This window comes from Homo sapiens, chromosome 2, assembly GCF_000001405.40.
Source record: "Homo sapiens chromosome 2, GRCh38.p14 Primary Assembly".
Classification (NCBI taxonomy): Eukaryota; Metazoa; Chordata; class Mammalia; order Primates; family Hominidae; genus Homo; species Homo sapiens.
The window spans coordinates 26283550-26297486 of record NC_000002.12 but is presented as its reverse complement, the minus strand read 5'-3'; the positions used below and the strand labels follow the sequence as shown (position 1 = coordinate 26297486).

General features: G+C 41.6%; 1 protein-coding gene across 4 annotated transcripts in view; it reads right to left on the bottom strand.

Annotated features, from left to right (window-relative positions):
- Positions 7022 to 13937, bottom strand: part of HADHB (hydroxyacyl-CoA dehydrogenase trifunctional multienzyme complex subunit beta) — a 45527-nt gene continuing 38611 nt past the window's right edge. For all 4 annotated transcript variants that reach the window (XM_011532803.2, NM_001281513.2, NM_000183.3 and 1 more), the window contains 4 exons: positions 13283 to 13370; positions 12530 to 12604; positions 11916 to 12080; positions 7022 to 7569 (listed from right to left, as the gene is read on the bottom strand). In XM_011532803.2, the coding sequence (XP_011531105.1) occupies positions 7534 to 7569; positions 11916 to 12080; positions 12530 to 12604; positions 13283 to 13370 (364 nt within the window). In that variant the 3' untranslated portion in view covers positions 7022 to 7533. The remainder of the gene's footprint in view (positions 7570 to 11915; positions 12081 to 12529; positions 12605 to 13282; positions 13371 to 13937) is intronic.

The following is a 13937-nucleotide window of genomic DNA, read 5'->3' as shown; positions in this document are numbered from 1 at the left end:
GTGAGACGCTGTCAAAAAAAACCTAGTAAAGGGAAAGCAGCCAGATTCCCATCCAAAGCAACCACTTCAATTTTTGAGGGGAAGGCAGGGGTTTAAAAAGGGAAAATTTGATAAGCAAGGCATTCAAGAACTGTGGTAAATACAACATATGTGTGTCTCGTTCTGGTGGCTCTCTTGGGTCCCAGTCCACCTGGTGTGTGGGCTGGCGTCATCTCAACAATGGCCAGGTTGTTAACTAGCTGCCTTGAAGTCATCTCTGGAATTTTGCAGCTGGGTCTCCAGGCTTGGTCTGTCTGTCTCAAGATTAGTGCCTGGAAGTTCTAGGAAGGCACAATTAGATACTAGTATACAATTAGATAAATGTGAAGGGAGTATATATCGTGAGAAAAGGAGGGTCATGGAGTCTGTTTTAAGGCTAAGGGAAAAGGTTTCTACAGTTTGCTTCCAGGTTATATCTTGAAATTCAAGACAAAAAAAAAGTTTTAAAATGCACTTTGAAGTTAAGCTGCCTGGTGACACATTTGTCCATACAAGTATGAGCGCCTCGAAAGGAAGAGATATCAAAGCATTATCAATGGGTAAGTGGGTATCTCTACTTGATTTTTCATTTTTTTCTACTCTATATTATTTGAGTTGTTCTTTGACAATGAGCATTTTTTATTATATATACATCATGAACTGATATTAAAGTCAAGCTGATTAACGTGTCCATCTCATCTTGTGTGTGTGTGTGTGTGTGTGTGTGTGTGTGTGTGTGTAATCAGATCCCTCGGACTTATTCATCCTATGTAACTGCAATAAACTTTTGTTTTTTCTTTTTTTTTGAGACAGGGCTCTCTCTGTCACCCAGGCTGGAGTGCAGCCTGGACTTCCTGGACTCAGGTGATCCTCCCACCTCAGCCTCCCAAGTAGCTGGGACTATAGGGACGTGCTGCCACATCTGGTTAATTTTTTCTTTTTTGTAGAGACAAGGTCTCACTATGTTGCCCAGGCTGTTCTCGAAAACCTGGGCTCAAGTGATCCTCCCACCTCGGCCTCCCAAAGTGCTGAGATTATAGGTGTGAGCCACCTCGCCCGGACAGCATGTATTTCTTACATTAGAAAAAAAATAAAATGAGAATCAGAAAAAATAAAATGAGAATCAGAAAAAATAAAATGAGAATCACTTGAACCTGGGAGGTGGAGGTTGCAGTGAGCCAAGATCACGCCATTGCACTCCAGCCTGGGCTACAGAACAAGACTGTTAAAAAGGAAGGAAAGAAGGAAGAGAGGGAGGGAAGGAGGAAGGGAGGAAGGAGAGAAAATGATTTTGGAAAAGTTCTCTTTAATATTTTGCATATTTAAAAGTATAAACTTGTGTGCTTGCTTTTCATTCCTCAAGAAAGACTAGCATTTGAGAGGCCTGGAGAAAAACACAACTGAGAAAGGCCAGGAGGAGAGGAGAGGCTCTGGAAAGGGGGAAGCAAAAAGGGCAGGAATTTTGGTCTGTTTTTTAATGGTTGTTGTAGCCTCAGCATCCAGAATAGTGCCTGACACATAAAAGTCACTCAATAGAATAAATAAATGAATAAACTATATAGAGTATAGAAAGAACATGCAGTTACTTAGAATCAGATACCATCAGAAGCAAACAACTGGGGAATAGGGGGAAGTTTGAACGAAAGATAAGGACAAATAAAAGGCTCTACTGCCAAATGATTAGTTGGTGGAGCAGAGGCTCTAATTACAGTGACAGCCTGGTTTAACTGTGGTATATACCCACAAGGGAATACTATGCAGCCTTAAAAAGGAAGGTAATCCTGTGACAAGCTACACTAGTGAACCTTGAGGACCTTATGCTGAGTGAAATAAGCCAGTCACAAAAGGACAAATTCTGTAGAGGCTGGTCTCAAACTCCTGGGCTCAAGCCATCCTCCTGTCTCAGCCTCCCAAAATGTTGGGATTACAGGCATGAACCAGTGCAGCCATTTTCAAATGTACAGTTTAGTAAGATACATTCACATTATTATTCAACCAATCTCAAGAACACTCTTCATCTTTGAAAATGAAAATTGTATCCATGAAACAACAACTCCCCATATCCCTGGCCCCAAGCCCCTGGCAGCCATCATTCTACTTTCTGTCTCTATGAACGTGACTACTCTAGGTCCCTCATGTCAGTGGAATCCTACAGAATTTGTCCTTTTGTGATGGGTCCTCAAGGTCCACCTGTGTTGTAGTATGTTACAGGATTGCTTTCCCTTTTAAGGCTGCACAGTATTCCCTTGTACATATATACCAATTTATCTGTATTTTGTTTATCCATTCACCCGTCAATGGACATTTGAGTTGCCTCCACCTTCTGGCTATTGTGACAAATGCTGCTATGAACATGAATATACAAATATTTTTCCAAGCCCCTGCTTTTTTTTTTTTTTTTTTTTGAGACAGAGTCTTGCTCTGTCGCTAGGCAGGAGTGCAGTGACTCGATCTTGGCTCACTGCAACCTCTGCCTCCCGGGTTCAAGCGATTCTCCTGCCTCAGCCTCCCAAGTAGTTGGGATTACAGGCACGCACCACCACGCCCAGCTAATTTTTGTATTTTTAGTAGAGACAAGGTTTCACCATGTTGGCCAGGATGGTCTCGATCTCTTGACCTTGTGATCCGCCCACCTCGGCCTCCCAAAATGTTGGGATTACAGGCATGAGCCACTGCACCCGCTCCCCCTGCTTTCAGTTCTTTTGGGTATATGCCCAGAAGTGGAATTGCTGGCTCATAGGGTAATTCTATGTTTAATTTTTTTAGGAACTGCCATGCTGTTTTCTATAGCAGCTGCACCATTTTACATTTCTACGAACTGCACAAAAGAATTCCCATTTTTCCACATCCTCACCAACCCTTGCTATTTTCTGTTCTTTTGATAGTAACCATAGTAATGGATTAATGGATGTGAAGAGGTATCTCATTGTGGTTTTGATTTGCATCTCCCTAATGATTAGTAATGTTGAACATCTTTTCCTGTGCTTATTGGTCATCTTGTTTGGAGATGAAGATATTCAAATTATTGGCTTTTTTTTTTTTTTTTTTTTTTTTTTTTTGAGACAGAGTCTCGCTCTGTCGCCCAGGCTGGAGTGCAGTGGTGCGATCTCGGCTCACTGCAAGCTCCGCCTCCCAGGTTCACGCCATTCTCCTGCCTCAGCCTCCTGAGTAGCTGGGACTACAGGCGCCCGCCACCACGCCCGGCTAATTTTTTGTATTTTTAGTAGAGGCGGGGTTTCACCATGTTAGCCAGGATGGTCTCGATCTCCTAGCCTCCTGATCTGCCCGCCACAGCCTCCCAAAGTGCTGGGATTACAGGCGTGAGCCACTGCGCCCAGCCTATTTGCCCATTTTTAAATGGGGGTTTTCTGGGTGTGAATTTTAGTTCTTTACACTTTCTGAATATTAATTAATATAATTCAGATATATGGTTTGCAAATATTTTCTCCCATTCCATAGGCTACCCTTTCACTTTGTTAATTGTGCCCTTTGATGCAGTTTTTAATTTTGATGAAATCCAATTTAATCTATTTTTTCCTTTGTTGCCTATGCTTTTGGTGTCATATCCAAGAAATCACTGCTGAATCTAATGTCATGTATTTTCCCCCATGTTTTCTTCTAAGTGTTTATAAAACTATAAATTTTAGCTTTTATCTTTCTTTAGGTCTTTGATCTGTTTGAGTTCATTTTTGTATAGGGTGTAAGGTAAGGGTCCAACTTCATTATTTTGCATGTGGATGTCCAGTTTCTCCAACACCATTTGCTGAAAAGACTGTCCTTTCCCCCATGAATGGTCTTGGCACTGTTTTTGGCAATGTTGTCAAAAAGCATTTGATGGCCAAGTGCAGTGGCTCACACCTGTAATCCCAGCACTTTGGGAGGCAGAGACGGGTGGATCACTTGAGGCCAGGAGTTCAAGACCATGATGGCCTGGCCAACATGGTGAAACCCCGTCTCTACTAAAAATACAAAAAAATTTAGCCGGGCTTGGTGGTGCATGCCTGTAGTCCCAGCTACTTGGGAGGCTGAGGCAGGAGAATCGCTCGAACCTGGGAGGCAGAGGTTGCAGTGAGCTGAGATCGCTCCACTGCACTCCAGCCTTGGGTGACAGAGTAAGACTCTGTCCCAACCCCCACCCCACCCCAAAACAAACAAAAAAAGCATTTGACTATGTATGTGAGGATTTATTTCTAAGCTTAAAAAAAAAACTATTAACTCCAGACTTTATTCAGATTTCACCAGTTTTTCCATGAATGTCCTTTTTCTGTTTCAGAATCCAGTCCAGGATATTACATCACATTTAGTTGTCATGTCTCCTTAACCTCTACTGATCTAGACAAATTCTCAGTATTTCCTTTTTATGACTTTGATAGTTTCAAGTTTTGAGTATTGGTCAAGCATTTCATAGACTGTCCCTCAGTTTGGGTTTGCCTGTTTTCTCATGATTCCACTGGATTATGGGTATTTGGAAAGAATACCACAGAGGTGAAGTGTACCTTGATTACATCTTAGGAGGCATGTGCATCCACATGGCAGCACTGATGATGTTAACCTTGATCACCTGGTTAAGCTGGTGTTTGCCGTTTCTCCACTGTAAGGCTGCCTTTTTCCCTTTCCATACAGTATTTACTGGAGTTGAGTCACTAAGTCCAGCCCACACTCAAAGCGGGGGCGGGGGATGCTCCACCTCCTGAAGTCAGGAGTATCTACGCGTTATTATTTGTAATTCTTCAGTAAGGAAGATGTGTCTCTTTTCCCTTCCCTTAGCTGTTTTAGAAACTATTTTTACCTCGTCTGTAGGCATCTTAGATACTTAGTTTTGCTTGTTTTTGAAACTTTCCTGTCAGTGATCATGACAGGAATATTTTGCTATTAAGAGCAATGCTGCTGTGAACAGGTTTGTACATATTTCCTGGACTCATGTGCAAGTTTTCTTAGGGAATATTCCTAAGAGCAGAAAAGCTGGGTCACAGACCTTGTGTTATATTCAGATGTACAAGATAATGCCAGACTGTTTTTCTTTTTTTGAGACGGAATATCGCTCTGTTGCCCAGGCCGGAGTGCAGTGGCGCGATCTCGGCCTCCTGGGTTCACACCATTCTCCTGCCTCAGCCTTCCGAGTAGCTGGGACTACAGGCGCCCGCCACCACGCCCGGCTAATTTTTTTTTTTTAAGTAGACAGGGTTTCACCGTGTTAGCCAGGATGGTCTCAATCTCCTGACCTCGTGATCCACCCGCCGTGGGCTCCCAGAGTGCTGGGATTACAGGTGTGAGCCACCGCGCCCGGCCCAGTTGCCAGACTGTTTTTCAAAGTGGTTTTGCCAATCTGCATTCTCACCAGCAGCATATAAAGTTCTAATTTGTCCACATCCAAGACCAACACTGGTATTCTCAGTCTTGTTAACTTTTGCCAGTCAGGCAGGTGTATTTCATTATGATCTTAATTTGTTTTTCCTGATTACTATTAAGCATCTTATTTACCATTTGCATATCATTTTCTAAAAATTGTGTTAAGATCTTTTGCCTTTTTTTTTTTTTGAGACAGAGTCTCACTCTGTCGCACAGAGCTAGAGTGCAGTGGCGTGATCTCAGCTCACTGTAACCTCCGCCTCCCGGGTTCAAGTGATTCTCCTGCCTCAGGCTCCTGAGTAGCTGGGATTACAGGCGCCCACCACCATGCCTGGCTAATTTTTGTATTTTTAGTAGAGACGGGGTTTCACCATGTTGGTCAGGCTGGTCTTGAACTCCTGACCTCATGATCTGCCTGCCTCGGCCTCCCAAAGTGCTGGGATTACAGGCGTGAGCCGCCGTGCCCAGCCGAGTGGTCTTTACTCTTATTGATTTGTAGGAATTATTTATATATCCTGGATCCTTTTAAAGCTGTATCTACTATATTTGCTCCACTTTTAGTTTGTTTCTCCACCACTCTGTATCATCACATGAAGAATAAAAGTTCTTATTTCAACACAGGCAAATTTATAGATCTTTCATGATTAGTATTTTCAATGTTTTCTTCAAGAAATCCCTCTCTTCCTTCAACCTAAGGTCACAGGGTTATTTTTTTTCTAAATTTTAAGGTTTTTACATTTTATATTTAACTTATCTATACCTGATTTTTGTGATATATATGTAAATATAATGGTTTTCGTATTAAAAACTCACATTATAATTACCAAGGAAACCATGGGGAAACGATGCTGGGACTCTCAAATATCCTTTTAAGAGGTTAGCACTAGGTCTCCTGCCCAATCTGTCCCTGAACTACAGGGTAATTTTGATTCCCAGTAACTTTCATAGACCTAAGCAACAGTCACACAAATGTCCATAAAAAGAAGCTAGTGTTTCTTTAAACACTCGCATCCATGTTATTTTAGTACAGGGTAGTTTTCAAAAATCTGAGAGGATTTAGAGTAGTTGATCAAAATAAAAAACTTCTTTACACTTTATTTAAATCCTAGCTAACAGAAGCATCTCCAAACAGTGAAATAAACATTCTGCAGTTCAGCAGTGGGGAAAACAAAATGTGTTATTCTAAAACAGGACTGTCAGGCTGGGCGCAGTGGCTCACACCTGTAATCCCAGCACTTTGGGAGGCCGAGGCAGGTGGATCACCTGAAGTCAGGAGTTTGAGACCAGCCTGGCCAACATGGCAAAACACTATCTCTACTAAAACTACAAAAATTAACCAAGTGTGGTGGTGGGTGCCTGTAATCCCAGCTACTCGGCAGGCTGAAGTAGAAGAATCGCTTGAACCGGGGAGGCAGAGGTTGCAGTGAGCCGAGATTGTGCCACTGCACTCCAGCCTGGGCAACAGAGTGAGACTCCATCTCAAAAAAAAAATAATAATAATAAATAAATAAACAGGATTGTCTTTATCTTCCCAGCAGCCTCAGCATTGACCACAATAGTTAGAAGTTATAAATGAGTAATTAAAGGCAAAAATCTGGTCCTAAGCCAAGAGAACCACCCTCCCCTGATGAATAAAAAATGAGGTAAACAGTTCTCCAATATTTCTCCACTTTATTAACGCTGACCACCATATTTATGTATCTAAACATTTTTTATAAGTTTTCAGTGGTGTTTAGATTCTGAATTATTTTTCCATAATTAATTAGGCACGTTGGTTTGTATTTTATAGAGAACACATCTTTAGGACACAGATAAGAACAAGTATAATTTGCAAATATTACAAAGATGATTTCCAAATCTCAGTTGACCTCTTTCCCAACTGCAAACCCTCATTTAGTCTTTAGTGACAACAGAGACCAAAAACAACCACCCACACATCTCATGTGAGATTCTGGTGGCTTAGAAATCCCTGAAAGAGCAGTAAACTGATTATTGAAAAGCTCAGAACACTGGCAAGGCTTAAGTGCAAACTATTTAATAGAAGGCCACAAGAACTGTTTTCCTAAGAGGAGCTAGGAACTACAAATGTCATTTAGTAATGCATTGAAATGGCATTGCCTAGTGTGAGTGTTGCACAGAAACTTCAGGTCACTTCTTCTGGATCTATTATTTTGGATAAGCTTCCACTATCATAGCATGGCCCTGTAAAGAAAACAAAGTCCAATTAGAGCAATGAATGGTGATGAATCCACCTAGTACAGGGACAGCAGAGAACAAGGAGAAAAGTACAGGCTTTGGAGTGGGATCCTGGCTCTGCCAATCAATCACTGTGATCTTGGGAAAGTTTGTAGTCAGTCTAAACTGGAATTTCCTCTACAAAATGGGGCTCATAGTGTCTACTTCATAGAGTTTTTGTGGGCATCACATAACATACAGTATATTTGTATATGTGTGTATATATATACACACACATATATATTTATATACATTCATATATACATGTATACATATATGCATCAGGCTCTGTCTAGTACAGAATCTAATTCCTAGTGATGCTCTACAAATGGATGCTGTTAAAATGAGAAATCCAGGGGCTTTTTTAACTGTATAAACATAAACATGATACAGCAAATACCAATAAAAGTAAGTTTCTAGAGGGGAAAACTGAGGCTCTGAAAGGTTAAGTGACTCACCCAAATCACAAAGCTATTAAGGTAACAGGGCCAGGATTTGAAACCAGGTCTAGATGATTCCAAAGGCTGGGCTTGTCCCTTCTTCACTATTCTACACAGGTTAAGATAATGATCTGAGGGACCACAAAGGGAAGAAGTAGAATATCTTTCTTTTTTTATTTTTTTTATTTATTATTTTGGAGACCGTGCCTCGCCGTTGCCCAGGCTGGAGTACAGTGACGCGATCTCAGCTCACTGCAAGCTCCGCCTCCCGGGTTCACGCCATTCTCCTGCCTCAGCCTCCCGAGTAGCTGGGACTACAGGCGCCCGCCACCACGTCCGGCTAATTTTTTGTATTTTTAGTAGAGATGGGGTTTCACCGTGTTAGCCAGGATGGTCTCGATATCCTGACCTCGTGATCTGCCTGCCTCGGCCTCCCAAAGTGCTGGATTACAGGCATGAGCCACTGTGCCCGGCCAGAAGTAGAATATCTTTTATCCAGCACTATGCACAGTGCTATGTACTAGCTATGTCCTTAGTTTAGATGAGTCTAAATCCTAGCATAGAATTTTTAGACACCCTCTAAAAAACAAAAAAGTAAATAAAAGAAACTATTATTTACAAAGTGCCAAGTTGAACACTGCAGGTTTAAAGATTTGCCACATGGTCTTTGTCCTCAATCAAGTATACACTGGAGTTCAAAACAAACTGTTAAGTACTTGGTTTTTCTGTTTTTTTTGAAACAGGGCCTCCCTCTGTCACCCAGGCTGGAGTGCAGTGGCCTGAACACGGCTCACTGCAGCCTCAACCTCCCGGGCTCAGGTGATACTTCCACCTCAGCCTCCCGAGTAGCTGGGACTACAGGCACCCACCACCACGCCCAGCTAGTTTTTGTATTTTTAGTAGAGATGGGGTTTTGCCATGTTGTCCAGGATGGTCTCGAACTCCTGAGCTCAAGCAATCTGCCCACCTCAGCCTCCCAAAGTGCTAGGATTACAGGCATGAGCTACCACACCTGGCATGTTAAGTACATTGAAAAGGCACAAGCAGACAAAAAAAGAGCAGGGATAGGAAGGTTTGACTGACTTGGGGGTTGTCCTGAAAGAATTCATAATAAGGTAGACTACTCCTCTCTGGCTTGCTTATTTTATTTTTTATTTATTTTAATTTCTTTATTTGCTTTTTGAGACAAGGCAACTCTGTCACCTAGGCTAAAGTGCAGTGGCGTGAATACAGCGCACTACAGCCTCAACATCCCGGGCTCAAGCAATCCTCTCACCTCCCTCCTGAGTAACTGGGACCACAGGTGCGTACCATCATACCTGGCTAATTTTTGTATTTTTGGTAGAGACGAGGTTTTGCCATGTTGCCCAGGCTAGTCTCGAATTCCTGCGTTCAAGCCACCCAGCTGCCTTAGCCTCCCAAAATGCTGCGATCACAGGCATAAGCTACCGCACCCAGCCCTCTCTGGCTTTATTTTAAACACACTGTTTTCATGTTCCATGTTTTTTCTTGCTCTAGATCAGATTTGGCAACACCTGGAGATACTTTTGGTTATACCAACCGTGTGTACCTGGGGCAGAGGTGGGGAGGAGCTTGTTGCTACTGCTATCCGATGGGTAGAGGCCATGCTAAACACCCTACAACACACAGCCCCCCAAAACAAAGAATTGTTTGGCCCAAAATGTTAGTGCCAAAGTTGAGAAACCCTGCTCTAGATTCACCACGATGGATTTCTCCTCTGTCTCCAACCATGTTGGTATTGCTCACGTGGCTCTTGATCAAACAATGTCAAGTTTAATCTAGTTTCTCAGATGCATCTTATCTTCTCTCTTCATACTATAAACTTCTAGAAGAAAGGTGCTAGGTATTATTCCTTGTTCATCCATAAAAGCATCCAGTATTGTGTTATTTATACTCTACATGCTAGATAAAGAATTAGGGAACACATACTCAAATCTGCAGACATTACCCTATGTGGATTACGCACTATGCTCGTGAGTAATGTGTACAGGTTATCTCCCTGGTAGAAGCCTGGCATGAAGAGATAGAGGGATCGCTCTAGTCTTAATGGACCATGGTTTTCTGTAGATGAAGTTACACAGATTAAAAAGCATTTGTGATCATAAAGTCCAAAATGTTCCAACTGATAAATAACTGACCCCTTGGTTTCTGCAAAGTCTCTGAGGAAAATCCATGAAAAAGGGCTTTTAAACGTAAGATTTATTTCATTTACTTTATTTTTGAGACAGAGTCTCTCTCTGTCACCAGGCTGGAGTGCAATGGCGCCATCTCGGCTCACTGCAACCTCCACCTCCCGGGTTCAAGCGATTCCCCTGCCTCAGCCTCCTGAGTAGCTGGAATTACAGGCGCACACCACCACACTAGGCTAGTTTTTATAATTTTAGTAGAGACAAGGTTTCACCATGTTGGCCAGGCTGGTCTCGAACTCCTGACCTCAAGTGACCTACCCGCCTCAACCTCCCAAAGTGTTGGGATTACAGGCGTGAGCCACTGCACCCGGCCAGTTTATGCTTTTAAATATTTATTCATTTTGATCAGGAACAGGAAGTTTCTGTAATCTAGAGGAAGAGAAAATCTGTTCACATCGGGATTAAAAAAAAAAAAAAAAAACAAAAACAGGCCAGGCACAGTGGCTCATGCCTGTAATCCCAGCACTTTGGGAGGCTGAGGTAGGCGGATCACCTGAGGTCAGGAGTTCGAGACCGGCCTGGCCAATACGGTGAAACCCCGTCTCTACTAAAAATACAAAAAAAATTGCCCGGGCTTGGTGGTGAGCACCTGTAATCCCAGCTACTCAGGAGGCTGAGACAGGAGAATCGCTTGAACTCGCGAGGCAGAGGTTGCAGTGAGCCGAGGTGGCACCACTGCACTCCAGCCTGGGGGACAGAGTGAGACTCTGTCTCAAAAAACAAACAAACAAAAAACAAACTACAATCTTCCTTTTGGATTTTATTCCTAGAGTGAGATGCTACAGCAGTCAGGAAGTTGGGTCTCTAATGCAAGTGAAGTAGAAAGGAAAAAATCTGTCAACAATATATTTCCCCAGCTGAACAGCAGTAAGTTATCCAGAAGTAAATTAACTCCCCAGTTAAGGTATAATTCAGTTCTCTAGAAAGATAGTTTCTCTCTTGGAGAGATTTTATAAAGTCTTATGGTGACTAGATAAATAAAAGTTAATTATTAAAGAAGAAAATATATCAAGATGTTAATAATGTTAATGTCTGATGGGGAGATTATAGATGATTCTAACTTTTTCTATATACTTTTCATATATTCCACAATTTTCATAATCAGCATATATTTATAAGTAAAAAATAAACATTATATTGGGGAAAAATAGCTTGGGTTTAAATAGCTGTTTCCTTCCAAAGAATTATCAGAATTATGGCAGGGCATGGTGGCTCATGCCTGTAATCACAGCACTTTGGGAGGCCAAGGAGGGTGGATCACTTGAAGTCGGCAATTCGAGACTAGCCTGGCCAACATGGCGAAACTCTGTCTCTACTAAAAATACAAAAATTAACTGGACATGGTGGTGCACACCTGTAATCTCAACTGCTCGGGAGGCTGAGGCACGAGAATCACCTGAATCCGGGAAGTGGAGGTTGCAGTGAGCTAAGATATTACCACTGCATTCCAACCTGGGTGACAGAGCAAGACTGTCTCAAAAAAAAAAAAAAAAAACCCAAAAAACAAAAAGTTTTATCAGAATTACAGCTGTTATCCCTCCCCACTCCCCACCCCCAGGTCATCAAAAATATTGCTTTAAGAAGGTTTCAAACTAAATCATACATTCTAGTCATTCCAAGAAAATGACTCTCTGGAGGGTCCTATGACACCACTGTAACGTACCTGCCCTCCAGCTGCACACGCAGCCACTAAGCCATACTGGCCTCCTTCTTTCCGTAATCTGTTGGCAGCAGCCATGACCAACCTGCAGCCAGTGGCTCCAAATGGGTGTCCCAGGGACAGAGATCCACCCCAGTTATTAAACTTCTCCAAAGGAGGCAATCCAACCTGGCTCCCCCAAAGACACAAATGTAAAGATAAGTTTACTTAAGATCAGAATCAAGCTAGGCTCTTAGTACTACGAAGTAAGAGAGATAGAGGAAAATACGTAACGTCAGACATATTACAAATAATTTTACTGCAAAAGAAAGTAAGTCTAGGTCAATATTAAAAGTCAGGAGTCCATTTATTTTTCATCTAATGTCAGAATGCAAGGAACAAAAAACACAGAATTTTATTTTTGCTAAATAATTTCTATTTTTAAACTAAGAAATAAATATATTTAATGAAATACAAGAATTTCTACTTTTACACTAAGAAATAAATATCTTTAATGAAAGACAAAATTCTTCAAAAGAAAGAGAAGCTTTCCCTTCATATTCTTAAGAACAGGTAACTAAGATCCAATTATTAACGTGCTTTGAAAATTCACGCATTTTTTAAAATTAGAAACTCACCTTGGTTTTTCTACCCATGTAGTTTTCTGCAAACCAATCAGAATCCATGGCTTTAAAATTTGCCAAAATCTGACCCTGGAAGAGAAAATAATCGAATAAGAACCTCGTTATTCATGTTCCTCTACGCTTTCTTATAGGAATGGTTTGTGAAAGTTTAACAACTTTAGGTATGGTTTAAAGTTGAACAAATCGGCCAGGCACAGTGGCTCACATCTGTAATCCCAGCACTTTGGGAGGCCAAGGCGGGTGGATCATCTGAGGTCAGGAGTTCAAGACCAGCCTGACCAATATGGTGAAACCCTGTCTCTATTAAAAATATAAAAAAAATTAGTCGGGCATGGTGGCAGGCGCCTGCTTGTCCCAGCTACTCGGGAGGCTGAGACAAGAAAATTGCTTGAACCTGGAAGGCGGAGGTTGCAGTGAGCCGAGATCGTGCCACTACACTCCAGCTGGGGCAACAGAGCAAGACTCTGTCTCCAAAAAAAAAAAAAAAAGTAAAGTTGAACAAATCTTTGTATCAGTTTTCAATGGCAATTTCCTAAAGAAGCAATTTGGTATGTTCTCCAACACTGTATGTGTGGCCCTTGCTTCCCTCCCCTCGGGCCCCTCCCAGCAGTGTGAATCAGTACTTAAAATATGCAGGTCCACTCCTGCTCTACTCACATCATAAACCATGCCTTGCTCTCTCCCACAAATATGGATGACATTTTTTATGACTATAGTCCCTTCATATGTGTCTTTCAAATTACTTACCGAGAAAGCTTCATGAAATTCAAAAGCATCAATATCATTCATGGTCAATCCTGCCTTTTCTAGAACTTTTGGAGTAGCATATGTTGGTCTGCAAAGAAAAAATAAGTAATATCTTAAAACTTTAATTTTTAAACTAAGAGCTCCTTCATATTCCCCAAACTGAGTTTTACATAGGTACTCTAATGTCTTTTCACTCATTCTTTGATTTTTCTGTACTGATTAATGAAATGTTAAAGATAAAATAGTGAAACTGTACAGACATGCCCTCTACTCTTATGTTGCAGAGTCAGAGAAATTGATAATAAATAAACAGTGAGGGATAAGGACAAGCTAATAACATGAAGAACTGGAAGAACAGAGTTCAAAGAGCAAGGCAAGGGAAAGGGCTTGACTGATGTGAACGTCACAGTGGAGGCTAGAGGCTACAGCCTTGTGAGGGAACGGAACAGAGTCTAAACATGGGGAGGCTTTTATAAAAGGCTATATTAGGAAGATTGTGTAGCAGGGTGTGTAGCCATATGAAAAAATGCATATGCTATCTTAATGAAAAAGAATATAAGTTGTGTGTGTCCATATATATATGTAAAACTTATAGGAAAAAAATGGAAAATAATCCAAAACTGTAACATGATATACCAATGGAAAGGATTACTAC